The 21,591-nt window shown below is 38.0% G+C and overlaps 1 protein-coding gene across 2 annotated transcripts, besides 1 other annotated feature; it reads left to right on the plus strand.

Annotated features, from left to right (window-relative positions):
- Positions 14,796 to 15,090: a silencer, noted in NCBI's record as "tiled region #5404; HepG2 Repressive non-DNase unmatched - State 24:Quies". NCBI's record gives its function as "represses a minimal TATA promoter and a strong SV40 promoter by Sharpr-MPRA in HepG2 cells {active_cell/tissue: HepG2}" and the evidence as "EXISTENCE:reporter gene assay evidence [ECO:0000049][PMID:27701403]".
- Positions 16,333 to 19,480, plus strand: CXCL8 (C-X-C motif chemokine ligand 8). 2 transcript variants are annotated; one of them, NM_000584.4, is made up of 4 exons: positions 16,333 to 16,486; positions 17,306 to 17,441; positions 17,713 to 17,796; positions 18,213 to 19,480. In NM_000584.4, the coding sequence occupies exons 1-4, from the start codon at positions 16,423 to 16,425 to the stop codon at positions 18,226 to 18,228; spliced, it is 300 nt and encodes a 99-aa protein (NP_000575.1). In that variant the 5' UTR covers positions 16,333 to 16,422; the 3' UTR covers positions 18,229 to 19,480. The 2 variants fall into 2 exon arrangements, with proteins under 2 accessions (NP_000575.1, NP_001341769.1); NM_001354840.3 differs by having other exon boundaries at positions 17,713 to 19,480.

The following is a 21,591-nucleotide window of genomic DNA, read 5'->3' on the forward strand; positions in this document are numbered from 1 at the left end:
TTGGGCAAACTGGTGGTTCCCCTGCTCCCCGGAGGTCACCATATTGATGCCAAACTTAGCGTGGACACCCAATTGGCATAGTGCACTATAGCCCAGAACTCCTGGACTCAAGTGATCTTCCTGGCTCAACCTCTCAAGTAGCTGGGATTACAGGTGTGTGCCATCACACTCAGCTAGATTGTTTTTAATTTAAAAATGTTACTGGACAGCGTTAGCACCTTTTAACAAGAATTTATTTGTGCCCAACACCATGCTTAGCACTTAATGGGCATTCAATAAACATTAATTCAATGGATGGATGAATGAAATACTACAAAAAGCAAATTAATCACAGAATCCCTTTTAAAAACATGAATGAAAGCACTGCTGTGATTATGTTGTAGGTAAATTCATGATATTTTCTATCATTGGTGTATTTTGGTGAATAAATATTACAAGATCAATTCATAAAATCTTCGAAGAAATGGTTCTCTAGAAATAATTCAGTTTTTTATCATTCTGTAATTTTGGCCAACTGTGACGAGAAAACATTTTCATTTGTGTCTGTCTGAATGGTACAGCTTTTTAGGTTTTCTGAAGTCCAGCACAGAGTTGAATAATGTTGAGAGTGTTTCTTTTGGCTGAAACATAGAATTGTCCACTTTTTACTAGAATGGCAGGTTAGAACTCCTGAGTTTTAATTGATTGGTTATTAAATTATTGCATATTCTTAGTAGAATATGCAATATTAGTAAGAGGCTAGAACTCAAGAAAATGTCACTGGAATTGTTCAAGATAAATCTTATCCTGATGTTTCAGGAGGGAGGGGAAAAATGTCTTGTTTTATCCCACACTTAATATTCTTTATAGGTAAGAATTAGCTGAAATGTGTCTTGCTTATGGCTGTTTCTTTTTTGTTGATTAAATATCTATAAGCCATCCATTAATTATTGATCATCCATGGGGTACATCACTGAATGTTCACTTTTGAGTTCAGCTCCCTGCACATGTGTTCATGTACCATCATTGTGCCCTGTTGATCATGGTGTTAATAAAGGAAAAAAACAATCAGAATTGGATGGCCTCATAAAGGCTAGGTAACAATTCCAATGAAATTAGAGAAAAACATGTACTTAGGGAGTACACTCCCATGGCCTGCCTTGATTTTTTTCATTACCGGGAAGGAAAACTATCTTCTAAGCCTAGCCAGTCCAAGCTTGCCTTAAAATATAAACTTTATTTCACAGGGTTCCTAAAAAATATGGAGCCACCATGAGTTCTTTTATTTTCTGTTACTATAGAAATTGTTAGCACTTGTAAATGAAGTTACTAATGTACAAATTATTAGCGTATTTTGAAAGACTGTCTCAATACCTAGAAGTTTAACATGTAAAACGAAACAAGAGCACTTTAGGGAAACTGCACATTGCTCCCTGACTTCATGTGATTCTGGGAAGCTGCATGAACAATGGTTTTCCTGAATTTAGTAGATTTAGGTTTAGATTGGACATGTCATGTGTGTGAAAGCAGATGTGGTTAATAGGGTAGTGGATAGAACAGAATTCTTCCCAGAAAGAGCTTCTATTAGGTCATATTCAAAGGAACTTTTCTTCCCACGATACCATATTTGCGTTGACACAAAATTTCACCTTTTTTCCTTCTTACCCTCTTCCAGAAACACAAATAATTTTTATGTGAAGAAAATGTTTACCAAAATTCTAAGGTAAACCTTATATAGCTTCCTGTATGTCATTTTGTGGCTCCTAATGGCAAAGTTAAGGAGAGAAGTTTCTGCAATTGTGACTTATCTACAGATAAACAATGCCTTATTATTATTATTCTTGAGGCATCTGTGAGGGAAAATTCAATAAGGAAAGGGGATTCAAAGGGAGATTTTAAAAAATCCTTGGGAAATTCCACACATGGTCAAGGGGCTCATACCCATGACTCCTGAGGCATGTCAGCCAAAGACATTGCACAGGATTTTATACTGAGTCACCTCTCTGGAATCTGAGATCTGAATGGAGCCTGGAGAAGGAAGTTGAGTGTCCTTGGTCACAGTTACCACTTACTTGCTGAGCCAGAAGAATTCTGGAAGAGTTCCTCTCTTCAGGAGATTTTTTAATGTACCCACCATACGTGAGGATTTTAGGATCCAATTCAGACCCTGTTACACAGAGGTCACCGTCCAGAAGGGAGACACAAGAAATCACTTATGATACAGCACATTGGACTAAAGCAGTGATTCTTAAGTTCTGGTGCCTGGACAAGCATCATCAGCATCACCTGTGGGCTAGTTGGAAAAGACAATTTTGGAGGCCTCCTTTTCCCTTCTGAAACAGACATGGTGGGAGTGGAGTCCAGTGAGCTGTGTTTCAGCAACCCTTCCAGGGGATTCTGACATACTGTAAAGTCTGAGAACCCACTGGGCTAGAAGGAAGCCTCCTGGCATGAGGAGAGAGTTGTTCTGGAGGCCTTAAATAACATGGGAGTAGGTTGAGGACAAGGTTGAGAAGGTGGTGGTGCCTAGACCTTTTAAAGGATTAATAAGATTCTTGAGAAAAAAAAAAGCCAGCAGAGGGAAGAAGAATGGAAAAGCTAAAGCTGAGGGTGACAGGGAGGAAGATAGACCCAGAGAAGAGTCTGGAGAGGCCAGAAGGGGCCAAGTGGGGAGAGAATTTTATCAGGGCTGGGAGTATAAACTGTATTATGAAGACCATGGCACTGGGATAAAGGCTGAAGGCTAAAGTCTGGGAAAGACACACTCAGATTTGTAGAAAAGCTATAAAATTTCAGATTTTAGAAAGCTCACTTGGCAGATGTGAGTGAAAAGTGGAGGGGAGGAAGCTCAAAGTTGAAGCAGTTAGGAGATTTCTATGGTGATCTCGGGCCAGGGAAAGCAGGACTCACCTAGCACAGGGGGCTAGGAAGGGGAAGGGTCTCAAACAGGAGAACAGCTGAGAAAAGGGAGTTGGTAGAACCTCATGTTATAATACATCACAGAAGCCAAAAATCATGAGGTAGTATACTGACTGGCAGCAAATGCCTATGAGATTGGAAAGTGAGATAGGCAGAGAACCTAAAATGGTATGCCCCATGTAATGCCAATTTAAAAATGTATGTACATGAATACACATGTAATACTGAAAGATGTACATTAAAATCTTTATCTCTGTGTAGTGAGATTACAGCCAATTTTTATTTCCTTCTTTATATTTTATTTTCCAAATTTGCTACACTAAAAGAGAACCATATTATAATAAGGAACTGCAAATGTTAAAGAGGGAGGGAGGGAGGAAGGAAGGAAAGAAGGAAAGAAGGGAGGGAGGAAGGAAGGAAGGAAAGAAGGAAGAAAGGAAGGAAGGAAGGGTTATATTTGAGAGCTGAATGGGATAATGTATGGGAAGTCAGAATGGTTCCATAAATAGACGGAAATTACAATTCCTGCAGGAGCCTTTTAAACTTAACCTGTCTTAAAAATTTCCTACAAATCCAGCCTGACAGGCTGTGACAGGGAGCTGAGGTATTTAGCGGGTAGCAGGAGGGGCACTGGACATGCGAGGAGCCAGAGCTGGGGCAATCGGTAGGGAGGGACTACCCACCGGTCCAGCCACTCCTTTCACAAGAAGGGGATGTGTACACAAGGAAGAAGGTCTTGTGAGTCTGACTTCTTGGAGGCTGTTGGGCGAAAGCTGTGCCGGTGACTGGCTTCCCTGACCCTGCCCTCCTCCAGTCTGGGCCTCACTGACTCTGAGCATTCAGCGTTCTAGCTATGAAAATGAGTTGATAATTTGCATAGGTTGGAACACAGTTGTGCTAAAGACGTACTCTTTGGTTACCTTGGTAGTTACTTTTTTTTTTTTCTGGTCCCATTTCCCTGCCATAGGAAATAATACACAGCTCTAAAAAACAATACACAAAATAATGTAAGAAATCTATGGGGTAATAGGGTATGTTTGATCTAGTGGGGAGGGAAGTAGCTTCACTAGGTGATTATGGGAAGGTTTAGGATCATGTTATTCATGAAGAGGAAACAAGCAGCGAGAATTCCAGGAAATCATCATAATAAAACAAAGAGTTCCAGGAAATCATCATAATAAAATAATGGCTACTATCATTTATTACTATACTAAGCATTTTACAAATATTGTTATTAATGCTCACGACAACTCATTTCCATTGTTTTTTTTCATTAAAGTCAGCATTTACACATGAGAGAAACTGGGGCCTCAGACACTAAGTGATTGTAAGTGTCAGAGCCTCAATTTGAACAAAGACTTTTATTCGGTACTAAGAGTTCTGGAGGCAGATGATGATGACGGTTGCGCAATAATGTGAAGACTTAATATTACTGAACTATATATTCAAAAATGAATGAGATTATAAATTTTATGCTGCACGTATTTCACTACAATTAAAAAAGAAAGTCTATACCTTGTATACTACATTGCTACATATTCCAAAGATATTTTGATGTTACTATTATGATAGACCCCACATTAAGGAATTGCCTGCTTTCCCTTAAATGGAAAGAAAACAGGGTCCTAATACCCTCCCTAAAGTGGCTCAAGGAACCTCAGCATAGGTTTCCTTTCTGTCTCCTTTTTTCCCCTCTCCATCTTTTTAAAAATTATTCTCCTTCTGTCCCTTCTCACATCCTTCTTTCACCTTTCCTCACCCTGAACAGATGGATAGACTGCCTTCCTTCCCAACACACACACACACACACACACACACACACACACACACACACACACACACACAGAGTCCACAGCCACAAGTGTCTCTGACCAGCCAGTGTTGCTGAGGCTGCACCTCAGTCTTCGTGGTGTTCACAAACTAAGGGGATTCTGATCAAGTCCTCTTGATCCTAACACTGTAAATGGAAGAAGAAACAGGTTTGTTTTAACCTGGGAGGTGTAATTTCTTTCTTTCTTTCTTTTTTTTTTTTTTGTCTTTTTCTTTTCTTTGAGATGGAGTCTTACTCTGATATCCGGGCTAGAGTGCAGTGGTGCAATCTTGGCTCAATGCAGCCTCTGGCTCCTGGGTTCAAGTGATTCTCTTGCCTCAGCCTCCTGAGTAGCTGGGATTCCAGGTGCCTGCCACCACACTCAGATAATTGTTGTATTTTTAGTAGAGACGGGATTTTGCCAAGTTGGCCAAGCTGGTCTCGAACTCATGACCTTAGGCGATCCACCCATCTCGGCCTCCGAAAGTGCTGGGATTATAGGTGTGAGCTACTGGGCCCTGCTGGGAGGCCTAATTTCAGAGACGTGGAAGTTCCAATGAAGATGAAACTGGGAGGAGGTGGATGCAGAAAATGACAAGCTCCAGTGTTTAAATCCAACAACAGCACACACATACACATACACAGAGGAAATGAGCAAGTGAACTGGTACCATTCCACAGAAATGAGAAAAGCTGAGAAATAGAGGACAACGTGCTTGCCTAAGATTCTGGCTGCATTTACTGAAACTCTCCCAGCCCTGCCTTTCAGCAGTTCTTCTGTGGATGGGAGTGTGACAGTGCTGCCTTCTGACCACAAGGTGGGGCTTATACTGGGATACACTGACTATCAGAAGGATTTCTTGTTTGAGCCTTTTCCTTTTAGAAATCTTTCTATATTGCCAACTAGATATGATTAAGGGCTTACTATACGTTACCTTACCAAGCTCCAAGATTCCAAAAACATCCAAGTTGGAATTTGTGCAGAGCTTAAGACCTGTACTTGGACACTTACTTACCACAGAAAAGAGAAAAATATGTCATTTTTCCTGAATTTCTTTTTCCCTCACTGTGGTATATTTATTAAGGTAGGTGGTGGCTTGTTGTGTTGTAAGTTTCTACTACAGAGCCCTTGTGAAGGTCAAGGTGGGCCTGAGTCATCGCCTTTCTTTTCTTATTCTTCTTTTTAAATAATATCAATATTTTAAAGAGAAAGAAGAGAAATGTCACAACAAAATTATAAAACTTTTACAAATACATTAACTGCCTATATTTAATAAATTAACATGTTTAGATTGCACAAATATATTGCAATGTATTTGTGGTATTAAAAGTATAAGCACTTCGTAGTATACTCAGATTCTATGTTCAGGACAGGATAAGATTTTAAAGTTAAGTATTATGTGTCTTCTGTTTTCAATCTTATCAAAATATCTCTGGCTGGCAGCTTGACCTTATTTGTTAATAACACTGAAGATCAGCTTTAAGGGTTTTTGTGAATGCAAAGCCCTGGACAAATATACTCCTCCCACCCCGCCCATTTGATGAACTGTTTACAAACCACAGATGTCATTGAATAGATTTAATGGAGGTGAGGTCACTGGGCATGTTTCACCCTTTTAAGCACAAAATTCAGACCCGTCAGAAACTTTTCCTGATGCTCTTGCAACCTTATTTACTAAGCTTAAAAGAGTTTTGTTAAACTAGTTTTCAAGACTTGGGCCACTGGGACATGAACACTAAGTGGGCTGCCAGAGCTCTACCCAGGCTGGACTTCATTCTGCAGAGGGAAGAGAGCTCAAGCTTTGGGGCCAGAGACCTGGGTGCTGATTTAAATTCAGGTTTGGGTCCAGCTGCTTGCTTGCTATGTGTGTACAATTTTAACTCCCTGAGCCTGTTTTCTTAAACATAAAAATGGAGATAATAGCGCCAAGCACATAAATTTGTGATGAGAATTAAATGAATTAACTTTTATAAAGAACCCAGTACAGGAGCTGGAAGACAATAAATATTACCCTGCCCCCCACCCCTCTATCTGCCTCCGTGCCTCCTCATTATTTCCACCACCAGCCATAGCCACTGGGTCACACAACTATGGGCCTAATTGCCTAATTGAGGATATCCACTGAGGATGTGGTCAGAAGAGCTCTATCAAGCAAGAGTTGCCCCACATTCAAATAATTCTGCAACTTTAGTTTAGTTGCTCCATCCTTCCAATTGCTCACACCTGAAGTCTTCATCGTCTGTGACTTTTGTCTTTTTCTCATGTCTTATACCTAATCCTTCAGGGTTTTGTGCTGTCTCTACCTTAAATTATCCAGAATTTGACCACTAGTCACCACGCTTGTCTAATGTAAGCAATTATCATCTCTCTCCTGGATTTCCATCATGCCCTCTAACTGGTTATCCTGCTTTGCTTCCCTTCCTCCTGCCATACTCCTTTTTACCCTAGCTGTCAGAGTGTCAGATCATGTCACTGATTTTCCAAAGACACTGCAATGGTTCTCCCCACAGAGTGAAAGCTGGAATCCTTGCGATGACCCGCAAGGCCTATCTAGTGTGGCCACTTGCTGTCTGTCCTCCTTTCCCATTCACCAGCTCTCCCTGCTCCAGCCACACTGGCCTCCTTACTGTTCCTCATACACGCCAGTCATGCTCCCAACTAACTGTTAACTCTCACTGTCCCTTTGCCTGGAATGCTCGCCCACATAGTCAGAGCCAATTCCTACTTTCTTCCATTTGTAGCTCGGCATCAATCTCTCAAGGAGGCTTCCTCTGACTCTCCAATGCTGCAGTCTGCTCACTCCTCACACACCTGACTCCCCTAATTCCCCCATCTGTTTTATGTTTATTTTTTCATAACATTTATTCACCGAAGGCACTTCCTAAGGGTAGGCATTTCTATTTGTGATATTCATTAACCTTTCCCAAGCACCTAGAAAAGTGTTTGGGATATAGAAAGTGTTCTGTAAATATCTGTTAAATGGATGAGTGATGGGAAAGTTAAGCCTCTCTACATATATTTTCAAGCAATATTCACTAAGTTTGATGCTTTTGCTTCAGAGCAAATCAGTTGGGTTTATTTCCTTCTTTCTTACTTTTTTTTCTTAGTATTTTTCCAACTCCAACCACATTACTTGTTTCACAACGACAGGTTAAACGGTTGCAACTTGTCTGAGAGTCATGAGGAAATCAGGCAAGAGGAAACAGTGTCGGCAAGAGAAGAGCGCAGGAAGCACTTCCTTCTTTTCTTGGGGGCAGGGAATAGGCGTCTGATGGTAATGCACACCATCACCATGGCCTCCAATTACAGCTCCTTACTTCATTGAACCCATGCCCTTCTCCTCTTGGTTGAAGAGAACTTTGCAAATGGCAATGTTTAGTTAGCCACATTGAAGGACGAGTACATATTCTCTTACAGTTTTGCTAAATCTGAGAGTTGGGTAAGTGTCCTCTGCTGGTACAAGTGGGCAAGTTTCCCAGAGGAAGTTCTCCATTTCACATACCTTAGCTTACAGGGTAATAAAACAGTCAGAAGAGCTGTATAGGCAAACCCCATCATTTTACAAATGAAAAACCTGAGGCCTCGATAGGAGGGACTCGTCCTTCTACTGGGTTATGATGTCCCTCTCCCCTCACTGAATCAAGATTCTCTTCTCCAGTCTTCTAAGTCTAATCTGGCAGGAGAGGAGGGGAGAAAGAAGATAAATGTGCTCAAAGGAAAGTCTGTAAGTCTTACAGACACATGAGAGAAACCCCCTGAGACAGCACAGAATTCTGGACTCTCTGCTTAGGTTCTAATCCTAACTCTGTTTCCTACTTGCTGGATGACCTTCTGCAAGTTATTAAATACTTAACCTAAGTTTGTTTTCTTATCTTTTAAATGGCGATATTTAATACTAAAATATAGGGTTGTTGTGAATATTACAAAAATAAAACATGAAGTACTCAGTAATAAGATTCTGTAAGTACAATTATTCTTGAGTGAGAACTTTGTATACCCATTGCTAAAGTCCAAGCAAGTCAAACCTAGAAAAGAAATGTGCTATTTTTAACTTTTCTCATTAACCTTGGCTTTCTAGTACCTGCTTCATTTATCTTTGGGTCTCTTGATGATGTGCTTTCATGGTCCTGTTTTTCTGGCTGGTTGTGTTATTTCTTACCTACCTCCCCCACCCACCCTTCCCATTTTGCTTTTATATCCAGCTTTGTAGGAGATGGTGCCAGTTGTGTTTTCCAGGTCCACCTCCCACTCTTGGGGGAAAGGAAGTGCATAAAAAGTTCATCCAGCAAGTTTGGAGCAGACAGCTTTTCCTTTGTTTCAAAACTCCAATAGCATCTGTGAGTGGTGATTTCCTCCTTCCTGGTTTAGGGACCACATGGAGTGATTTAATATAGACAAGTAAGGTGATGCAGTCAAAAAACATTCTAAATGAGTTTTGAGATAAATGCTAGATGAGAGAATAAGCCACCTAAAAATGAAAAGGGCTCAAATCTGGAAATCAGACAATTTGGGGGCACCAGGTTATACTGAAAGAGATAAAGAAGTTTTATGTCCTTATTTTGCCATAAATTTGAGGAATGCTGAGAGATTGGCCAGTATCTCAAAACTCATACACAATCTGAATTATTTTTTAATTTTGTTTTCTTTTTATGTGAAATAATTATGTAGCTTTTCTTGAATATATCTATTTTGGGGAAATGAAGAGAATTATGGAAGAACTAAAATGTAACCCTTCTCTTCAGCCTCCTTTTGCCATTGACACTGCTTTTCAGTAGATTTGTGAAGGAGGCTACCTCAGTTGAAAGTAGTACTCAGTTTTGATCTTTTTCTAGATGGATTTGGGTCTTACTCTTATAGGTCACAAGAATATGAAAGGTCACTCAAATCTTGCCTTTATATACCATGAGTGTTCTCTTCCTCCTCATTCTGCTCCTTATCCATCTCCACTTTCTCTTTTGAAAACTTCAAAAAACGTTTTCTGAATTCTGTCCAGGACATATCCAGAAAGAGCAGGCACCATTCAGAAAATGCCACTTCTCTTTCAATTGATTTGACTTAAAGGTAGTACACATAGGATTAGCTCATTATTGTCAAATGTAATACCTCCAACTTACCCTTTACTGATTTTAGCCCTTAGGGGTTTATAAGGGAGTTCAGTAAACTCCCTGAAACTTCATGCCAGCATTCATCCTTGAGGCTGAGCAGAAGGTATAAAACTTTCATTATATTTTCAAAGACTTAAATGGTTAAAGTAAGAAAGGTTAAGAACCACTGAGATAATACTTAAAATGGAAGCTAAACTGTTTTAGTCTTAGCACAGTCAACGTTAATTAGACAAAACCTATAGAACACCATTTATATTCACTCTCTGGCCTCCAGAAACAGTGTGTGGTCCCTTGGAGTCTCCACAGTTCTGTGAAATGCAGTTGATGGGAAAGAGCAAGCAGCAGAGCCTCTCCCCCAGTGGTGGACTTCAGTTGCCAGGACTTCCCGCATGCTGCTCACCATCCTTTATGCCACTGTATCCTAACCTGTTATTTCTTACCCTTGCCTTCAAGGAGCCTAGAAGATATCGGATGGTTAATTCACCAGTGGAATGAAACTGCTGTTTGGCTGCACAGTTTACTGCTTTATCTATCCACCACTGCTAAATTAGAGCACTAACTAAAACTGTATTTTCCATGCTAAGTTCTTCTCTGTTCATGGAAATAAAATAATTGTCCCCAAGGGAGAACAAAAACAAAGATAAGCATTTTCGTTTTCTTTCGTTGACATTGTTCTTGTTTGGATAGGTTGCAAGAACTGGGAAATTTCTGCTTTCATTCAAGAAATGTTTGTAGAACATTGTTACATGCAGGCACTAATCTGGAAGCTGGAACACAGTCTAAATAAAGCAGTTGTAGTCTCTGATTTTGTGGAATTTCCAGTCAAGTGGGTGAGACAAATATCAATAAATGGTTACACAAATGGGTGGAGAGCTCATCATTTCAATGGAATCCATCAATGTGGAATGTCTATGTGGGTTAAACTTTGTCTTAAATACTTCAGTCACCCCAAGGCCAAAGTGAGGAGAAAGATGCAGTTAAGATGAAGCTCATATTGTGAAACAAAAACTTTAAAAATAAAAGTTTTAGGAGAGTTGTGAGAAACAAAATATAGAAATTATAGCATAGTAACTGCTTTTTTTCCCTAAGTCACTTTCTTCAAGTTGCTAAGAGTTTTATCTCAACTGAGCTTTTAAAAATTTTACATCTATTTATAAAAATAATAGATCAAAATAATAAAGAAACTTTTGAGAAAATAAGAAAAACATCACTACATATCACTACAGAATCATAACCACCTTTGAATCAGCATGAAAACTTTTCTTTTTTTCCCTTAGTCATTTGACTTATTGCTTGGTGTGAGTCTTGTTTACCACAAGACACAATTAAATGCACGCATCAGTTCAGTCATTTCTAACATAGCAACTTCCCTTTTTGCCAAGTGATCTCATTTCCTATTTTTTTGGAAAGAAATACTAGTAACATGTAACGTGATCACTGCCATGTCAAAGATACATTTTTTTTGTAAACATTGGAGTAAATAATGCCTAAGTGTTTTAGAATAAATCTAATAAAGAAATTAGGTCTACACATAATTTTGTTTTACTTTTTTTTTTTTTTCTTGCGACAGGCTCTCTGTCACCCAGGCTGGAGTACAGTGGCATGATAACAGCTCCCTGCAGCCTCGACCTCCCTGGCTCAAGTGATCTTCCCACCTCAGCCTCCTGAGTAGCTGGGACTACAGGCATGCACCACCACGCCCGGCTAATATTTGTATATTTTTGTAGAGACAGAGTTTCATCATGTTGCCCAGGCTAGTCTTGAACTCCTGGGCTCAAGTGCTCCACCTGAATTGGCCTTCCAAATTACAGGCATAGCCACCACAGTGAGCCCTTTTTTTTTTTTAATAAATTTAACAAAGAAAAGAAATAGCTACAAGTAAATATTTACTTTTTTTTTTCATATTGAAGATTGGCTGATCTTAGCCTTTCTAAGTCCTTAATAAATGCCTGTTTACACAACTGGTGTCTTCCCCTAAACCTAAACTTCAAACTTCAAACTCCAAACTCCACCGATTTGGATAGTATTAGAAATGGCATTCATATTAATGGTTATAGTACATTTTTTTACATGTGAATGCAAATGGAATTGTTAGGCATTAAAAAAGAAAGCTTATATAGTGGAAGAAAATAAAGCATCTAGACATAAGCTTTAAGAGATCTATTGTGTTAATACAGCTTTACTTTTTGAGTGGTAAGCTTTTAAAAAGAAATGTGGTGCTCTAACTCCAGGAAAAGATAAGGGTGACTGAAGTGATAGTCTAGAGGAAAAAGATGCAGACATTTACTGAGTACCTCCAATGTGCCAGGTGCCATTCTGGGCATTTTCATTATGTTTCCTCATTTAATTCTCATGGTGATCCTTTGGAACTGTGTTATTCTCATTTTTACAGATGAGGTAACTGAGAGACAGTCAGATTAAAGAACTGCCTATGATTGTTTGGCTAATAATAAGTGGAGGGGTGAGGCTTGAAGGCAGGTTTGTCTTATTCCAACACCCATACATACCCTTAAATTTAAGTTATTCTGACTTGTGTTGCTCAAATCCAATGTGTTCAGCTGTTTGCTTCTCCAATTACCAAGATTTTTCTTTAAAAGGTAGGACACTTTTGGCAACACGAACCAACTTTGCTCAGTATTGTTATAAACTGTTAACTGGAGACATTTGAATTTGGAGATGGAACTGAAATGGTCTTGCGGTACTAGAGAAGATCAAGTTATCACATAAACAAAGTACAGAGCTGAGAACATATTTTAAATCTTTCCACTAACTCTGACTTTTATTGACTAAAATTTTAGTGGGCAGTATGTTTATGTTTATGACTCTTAACATTAACAACATCGTAAGTCAAACTCACTAATATATGTTAAGCATTCTGTTTATGATTCTTTTAACCTAGAGGATTGTTGAGCTGGGACTAATTTCCTCAAATGGGAAAAAAACCCAGGTGAGAGCTGAGACTGCTCCTGAGACTGAGAAAGGCAGCTCTGACGGGATCTCAGATTTTAGCAGCAGGAGTTGAACAATGGGCATAGAATCAGCTTGCCCAAGATCTCCTGATTAATAAACCATGGAACAAGATTTAAACCCAAGTTCATTTCATTTCAAAGCTCATACCACATTTTGCCCACCATATTTTGCTTTGTTATATGACTACAACTTAGTTCAGGCTTACAAAAAAGTCCTAATTCTAAAATTCCTATGGCGTGGGTGGGAGGGGATTTAGATGATTTTGCATAGGCAAGAAACACCCAGTTTCATGGAGTTTGATGGAAGAGTTATGTACTAATATGGGAAAAGTAGAGGCCATCTTTGTCTTTGTTCTTTCTTTTTTAGACGGGAGTCTCGCTCTTTCACCCAGGCTGGAGTGCAGTGGCGCTATCTCGGCTCACTGCAAGCTCCGCCTCCTGGGTTCACGCCATTCTCCTGCCTCAGCCTCCTGAGTAGCTGGGACTACAGGCGCCCGCCACCGCTCCCGGCTAATTTTTTATATTTTCAGTAGAGACGGGGTTTCACCGTGTTAGCTAAGATGGTTTGGATCTCCTGAACTCGTGATCCGCCCGCCTCGGACTCCCAAAGTGCTGGGATTACAGGCTTGAGCCACCGCGCCCGGCCGTCTTTGTTCTTTCTTGAACTCTTCCTTTTCTTGGGTGATAGACTTCGTCAACGTCTAATGAGGATATCTAGGTGCTAGTCTCTGCTCATCAAATGATTCTTATGGCTCAGGAGCCGAATGGGACGTAAATAAACAGTTAAGTCTCATGAACTCACTTTGCATTCATCTCTAGAAGATGACAAAACATTTGTATTTATGTGTAGCGTGGCACTTTAGTTAAACTTTGTACCCCACTTTGCTCTATTTTAAAGCAGAATATCCTTAAAAAGGATACTTAGTCCTGCTTTTTTTTTTCCGCCTAAGCCCATTTAGTCCTTCTACTCATTATGCAAGGACTCAAATGGTTATCTTTACAGAAGTGAGACAAGATAGAATCAATGCTCTTGTAGTCACTTCATCTTTGTCCATTCCCACTTCTGATGGAGAGGGTTCTAGGACATAATGCACTGAAGGTTACATTGTGAGAGATGAACAACATTTGCAAAAGAGGTCTTTTTGCCTTGGAAAGGCTTCATTCTTAAAAAAAAATGTGAGCATCAAGGTTAAGTAGACCTCATTAGCTCAAACTTTAAGGATGATATCAGGATAAAGTTGGGCCCATGAGAAGAGAATGAGAGGGAGATATAGTGACATGAAAATAAGGAGGAAAACGAGGTGTCTATGTAAGTTGGGCTCACCATAAATACAAAGGCAACCGTTAGGGAAAAGCAAAGAAGTCTTTGCACATCCTCAGAACTCTGAATGTCTTAGTGATGCTGTATGAGTGAGTCTTAATGATAGTGAACTGAATCAGTCAAGCCAGGTTGTGTCCATATGAGAATGTGTCTTTGCTAAACATGCCAACATCACTGAAGCAAAGAAACTTGGAGTTTTCTTTAAGATATAGGTCTTTTTTACCTATCCGGCCCAAGCTTTCTCTTCTTGTCACTCCATGCACTGTGTTCCGTATGCTAAATAGTTTGAGAAACCCAAATGGGCCATGTTCGCCTACATTTCATTGTCCTGTACTTCCTGTCCTGTACTAGCAAAGCAGTCCCATTGGTCTTTCTTCTCCTCATTAACAATAAAGGTAACACTTTTGATGTTGTTTCTTCAGAAAACCTTCATTCATCAAAACTGCCTCAAAGATCATGTTTGTTTGATTCCAGAACTTCCTGTAATTACCTGTTATTGTAACACTCATCACTGTATTTTACTTACTTGTGTAACTAATTTTCCATATTCTGCACTAGACAACAAAGTCCTTTAAGTCAGGTACTATATCTATTTACATAGCATTCACATCTCCTACAATAAGGGACATTAGCAGATAAACAACACATATTAAATGAATAATGAAGTTTCTGAAATACTACAGTTGAAAACTATAGGAGCTACATTATATAGAATAAACATTTACTTTGCTATAGAATTCAGTGTAACCCAGGCATTATTTTATCCTCAAGTCTTAGGTTGGTTGGAGAAAGATAACAAAAAGAAACATGATTGTGCAGAAACAGACAAACCTTTTTGGAAAGCATTTGAAAATGGCATTCCCCCTCCACAGTGTGTTCACAGTGTGGGCAAATTCACTGCTCTGTCGTACTTTCTGAAAATGAAGAACTGTTACACCAAGGTGAATTATTTATAAATTATGTACTTGCCCAGAAGCGAACAGACTTTTACTATCATAAGAACCCTTCCTTGGTGCTCTTTATCTACAGAATCCAAGACCTTTCAAGAAAGGTCTTGGATTCTTTTCTTCAGGACACTAGGACATAAAGCCACCTTTTTATGATTTGTTGAAATTTCTCACTCCATCCCTTTTGCTAGTGATCATGGGTCCTCAGAGGTCAGACTTGGTGTCCTTGGATAAAGAGCATGAAGCAACAGTGGCTGAACCAGAGTTGGAACCCAGATGCTCTTTCCACTAAGCATACAACTTTCCATTAGATAACACCTCCCTCCCACCCCAACCAAGCAGCTCCAGTGCACCACTTTCTGGAGCATAAACATACCTTAACTTTACAACTTGAGTGGCCTTGAATACTGTTCCTATCTGGAATGTGCTGTTCTCTTTCATCTTCCTCTATTGAAGCCCTCCTATTCCTCAATGCCTTGCTCCAACTGCCTTTGGAAGATTCTGCTCTTATGCCTCCACTGGAATTAATGTCTTAGTACCACTTGTCTATTCTGCTATATAGTCAGTCCTTACATTGCTTTCTTCTTCTGATAGACCAAACTCTTTAAGGACAAGTACCTAGTCTTATCTATTTCTAGATCCCCCACATTACTCAGAAAGTTACTCCATAAATGTTTGTGGAACTGATTTCTATGTGAAGCACATGTGCCCCTTCACTCTGTTAACATGCATTAGAAAACTAAATCTTTTGAAAAGTTGTAGTATGCCCCCTAAGAGCAGTAACAGTTCCTAGAAACTCTCTAAAATGCTTAGAAAAAGATTTATTTTAAATTACCTCCCCAATAAAATGATTGGCTGGCTTATCTTCACCATCATGATAGCATCTGTAATTAACTGAAAAAAAATAATTATGCCATTAAAAGAAAATCATCCATGATCTTGTTCTAACACCTGCCACTCTAGTACTATATCTGTCACATGGTACTATGATAAAGTTATCTAGAAATAAAAAAGCATACAATTGATAATTCACCAAATTGTGGAGCTTCAGTATTTTAAATGTATATTAAAATTAAATTATTTTAAAGATCAAAGAAAACTTTCGTCATACTCCGTATTTGATAAGGAACAAATAGGAAGTGTGATGACTCAGGTTTGCCCTGAGGGGATGGGCCATCAGTTGCAAATCGTGGAATTTCCTCTGACATAATGAAAAGATGAGGGTGCATAAGTTCTCTAGTAGGGTGATGATATAAAAAGCCACCGGAGCACTCCATAAGGCACAAACTTTCAGAGACAGCAGAGCACACAAGCTTCTAGGACAAGAGCCAGGAAGAAACCACCGGAAGGAACCATCTCACTGTGTGTAAACATGACTTCCAAGCTGGCCGTGGCTCTCTTGGCAGCCTTCCTGATTTCTGCAGCTCTGTGTGAAGGTAAGCACATCTTTCTGACCTACAGCGTTTTCCTATGTCTAAATGTGATCCTTAGATAGCAAAGCTATTCTTGATGCTTTGGTAACAAACATCCTTTTTATTCAGAAACAGAATATAATCTTAGCAGTCAATTAATGTTAAATTGAAGATTTAGAAAAAACTATATATAACACTTAGGAAAGTATAAAGTTTGATCAATATAGATATTCTGCTTTTATAATTTATACCATGTAGCATGCATATATTTAACGTAAATAAGTAATTTATAGTATGTCCTATTGAGAACCACGGTTACCTATATTATGTATTAATATTGAGTTGAGCAAGGTAACTCAGACAATTCCACTCCTTGTAGTATTTCATTGACAAGCCTCAGATTTGTCATTAATTCCTGTCTGGTTTAAAGATACCCTGATTATAGACCAGGCATGTATAACTTATTTATATATTTCTGTTAATTCTTTCTGAAGGCAATTTCTATGCTGGAGAGTCTTAGCTTGCCTACTATAAATAACACTGTGGTATCACAGAGGATTATGCAATATTGACCAGATAAAAATACCATGAAGATGTTGATATTGTACAAAAAGAACTCTAACTCTTTATATAGGAAGTCGTTCAATGTTGTCAGTTATGACTGTTTTTTAAAACAAAGAACTAACTGAGGTCAAGGGCTAGGAGAATATTCAGGAATGAGTTCACTAGAAACATGATGCCTTCCATAGTCTCCAAATAATCATATTGGAATTAGAAAGGAAGTAGCTGGCAGAGCTGTGCCTGTTGATAAAATCAATCCTTAATCACTTTTTCCCCCAACAGGTGCAGTTTTGCCAAGGAGTGCTAAAGAACTTAGATGTCAGTGCATAAAGACATACTCCAAACCTTTCCACCCCAAATTTATCAAAGAACTGAGAGTGATTGAGAGTGGACCACACTGCGCCAACACAGAAATTATGTAAGTACTTTAAAAAAGATTAGATATTTTGTTTTAGCAAACTTAAAATTAAGGAAGGTGGAAATATTTAGGAAAGTTCCAGGTGTTAGGATTACAGTAGTAAATGAAACAAAACAAAATAAAAATATTTGTCTACATGACATTTAAATATGGTAGCTTCCACAACTACTATAAATGTTATTTTGGACTTAGACTTTATGCCTGACTTAAGGAATCATGATTTGAATGCAAAAACTAAATATTAATCTGAACCATTTCTTTCTTATTTCAGTGTAAAGCTTTCTGATGGAAGAGAGCTCTGTCTGGACCCCAAGGAAAACTGGGTGCAGAGGGTTGTGGAGAAGTTTTTGAAGAGGTAAGTTATATATTTTTTAATTTAAATTTTTCATTTATCCTGAGACATATAATCCAAAGTCAGCCTATAAATTTCTTTCTGTTGCTAAAAATCGTCATTAGGTATCTGCCTTTTTGGTTAAAAAAAAAAGGAATAGCATCAATAGTGAGTTTGTTGTACTCATGACCAGAAAGACCATACATAGTTTGCCCAGGAAATTCTGGGTTTAAGCTTGTGTCCTATACTCTTAGTAAAGTTCTTTGTCACTCCCAGTAGTGTCCTATTTTAGATGATAATTTCTTTGATCTCCCTATTTATAGTTGAGAATATAGAGCATTTCTAACACATGAATGTCAAAGACTATATTGACTTTTCAAGAACCCTACTTTCCTTCTTATTAAACATAGCTCATCTTTATATTTTTAATTTTATTTTAGGGCTGAGAATTCATAAAAAAATTCATTCTCTGTGGTATCCAAGAATCAGTGAAGATGCCAGTGAAACTTCAAGCAAATCTACTTCAACACTTCATGTATTGTGTGGGTCTGTTGTAGGGTTGCCAGATGCAATACAAGATTCCTGGTTAAATTTGAATTTCAGTAAACAATGAATAGTTTTTCATTGTACCATGAAATATCCAGAACATACTTATATGTAAAGTATTATTTATTTGAATCTACAAAAAACAACAAATAATTTTTAAATATAAGGATTTTCCTAGATATTGCACGGGAGAATATACAAATAGCAAAATTGAGGCCAAGGGCCAAGAGAATATCCGAACTTTAATTTCAGGAATTGAATGGGTTTGCTAGAATGTGATATTTGAAGCATCACATAAAAATGATGGGACAATAAATTTTGCCATAAAGTCAAATTTAGCTGGAAATCCTGGATTTTTTTCTGTTAAATCTGGCAACCCTAGTCTGCTAGCCAGGATCCACAAGTCCTTGTTCCACTGTGCCTTGGTTTCTCCTTTATTTCTAAGTGGAAAAAGTATTAGCCACCATCTTACCTCACAGTGATGTTGTGAGGACATGTGGAAGCACTTTAAGTTTTTTCATCATAACATAAATTATTTTCAAGTGTAACTTATTAACCTATTTATTATTTATGTATTTATTTAAGCATCAAATATTTGTGCAAGAATTTGGAAAAATAGAAGATGAATCATTGATTGAATAGTTATAAAGATGTTATAGTAAATTTATTTTATTTTAGATATTAAATGATGTTTTATTAGATAAATTTCAATCAGGGTTTTTAGATTAAACAAACAAACAATTGGGTACCCAGTTAAATTTTCATTTCAGATAAACAACAAATAATTTTTTAGTATAAGTACATTATTGTTTATCTGAAATTTTAATTGAACTAACAATCCTAGTTTGATACTCCCAGTCTTGTCATTGCCAGCTGTGTTGGTAGTGCTGTGTTGAATTACGGAATAATGAGTTAGAACTATTAAAACAGCCAAAACTCCACAGTCAATATTAGTAATTTCTTGCTGGTTGAAACTTGTTTATTATGTACAAATAGATTCTTATAATATTATTTAAATGACTGCATTTTTAAATACAAGGCTTTATATTTTTAACTTTAAGATGTTTTTATGTGCTCTCCAAATTTTTTTTACTGTTTCTGATTGTATGGAAATATAAAAGTAAATATGAAACATTTAAAATATAATTTGTTGTCAAAGTAATCAAGTGTTTGTCTTTTTTTTAGTTTTAGCTTATTGGGATTCTCTTTGTTTATATTTAAAATTATACTTTGATTTAGAAAACATAAATGCTTCCCCTTAGCATTTTGTTTATGGAAAATTACAAACTTTTATTTTTAGAAAACAGAACTCCTTTCCAGAAATAGGTTACAAACAGTAGTGTCCTCCACAGAATGTTGGAAATGTTTTCAACTCCCCACTGTATACTATCTTGCTAATAAGTCTGTCTTCAGATTTCGATTAACCGGTTTGTATGTCTGTGCGCTTTAGCATAGCTGGACATTTAAAGAGGAAAGAGAGTACATATTATAAGTTGCTTATCAGTAACTGAGGAGTAAAACTGATAAATGTGAGGCAAAGAAGTTTAAAATATGGTTAAAGCCTAAGCATATTTGCAAACAAATCAAACAATACTCTGAGAAGTAAAAACATAATTATTTAATTAACAAATTTCAGTGGATAAATTTTATAACAAATTAGACACAGTTGAAAATAAAATTAGAAAACTAGAAAATAGAACCAAAGAACTTCTGGAATTCTTATAAGAGAGATAAAGAGGTAGAAATTTGGAGAAAGAAGTCGAAAGGCGTAGAGGATACAGGTGTAAGCTCTAATAGATGTCTAATTGGATTGTCACAAGCAGAAGAGAGAGGAAAGGGTCAGAGACAACATTTGAAGTGACAATGGCAAAAATCTTTCGGAAATGATGAAAAATAACAATCGATGTTTCAACAAATCCAATGTATCAACATTTACCTTTATATTCCTACTCAAAAAACAAGGATTTTGGAACTTTTACGTTTAACCACCTTCTAGCTCATAGGCTATTGTTGCTGGGTATTTTAAGTTCACTTCTTTTTTTTTTTCTTTTATTTTATTATTATTATATTTTAAGTTTTAGGGTACATGTGCACAATGTGCAGGTTAGTTACATATGTATACATGTGCCATGCTGGTGTGCTGCACCCATTAACTTGTCATTTAGCATTAGGTATATCTCCTAATGCTATCCCTCCCCCCTCCCCCCAGCCCACAACAGTCCCCAGAGTGTGATGTTCCCCTTCCTGTGTCCATGTGTTCTCCTTGTTCAATTCCCACCTATGAGTGAGAACATGCGGTGTTTGGTTTTTTGTCCTTGCGATAGTTTACTGAGAATGATGATTTCCAATTTCATCCATGTCCCTACAAAGGACATGAACTCATCACTTTTTATGGCTGCAAAGTATTCCATGGTGTATATGTGCCACATTTTCTTAATCCAGTCTATCATTGTTGGACATTTGGGTTGGTTCCAAGTCTTTGCTATTGTGAATAGTGCTGCAATAAACATTCGTGTGCATGTGTCTTTATAGCAGCATGACTTATTGTCCTTTGGGTATATACCCAGTAATCGGATGGCTGGGTCAAATGGTATTTCCAGTTCTAGATCCCTGAGGAATCGCCACACTGACTTCCACACTGGTTGAACTAGTTTACAGTCCCACCAACAGTGTAAAAGTGTTCCTATTTCTCCACATCCTCTCCAGCACCTGTTGTTTCCTGACTTTTTAATGATTGCCATTCTAACTGGTGTGAGATGGTATCTCATTGTGGTTTTGATTTGCATTTCTCTGATGGCCAGTGATGGTGAGCATTGTTTCATGTGTTTTTTGGTTGCATAAATGTCTTCTTTTGAGAAGTGTCTGTTCATGTCCTTCATCCACTTTTTGATGGGGTTTTTGTTTTTTTCTTGTAAATTTGTTTGAGTTCAGTGTAGATTCTGGATATTAGCCCTTTGTCAGATGAGTAGGTTGCGAAAATTTTCTCCCATTCTGTAGTTGCCTGTTCACTCTGATGGTAGTTTCTTTTGCTGTGCAGAAGGTCTTTAGTTTAATGAGATCCCATTTGTCAATTTTGGCTTCTGTTGCCATTGCTTTTGGTGTTTTAGACATGAAGTCCTTGCCCATGCCTATGTCCTGAATGGTAATGCCTCGGTTTTCTTCTAGGGTTTTTATGGTTTTAGGTCTAACGTTTAAGTCTTTAATTCATCTTGAATTAATTTTTGTATAAGGTGTAAGGAAGGGATCCAGTTTCAGCTTTCTACATATGGCTAG

This window comes from Homo sapiens, chromosome 4 (assembly GCF_000001405.40).
Source record: "Homo sapiens chromosome 4, GRCh38.p14 Primary Assembly".
Lineage (NCBI taxonomy): Eukaryota > Metazoa > Chordata > Mammalia > Primates > Hominidae > Homo > Homo sapiens.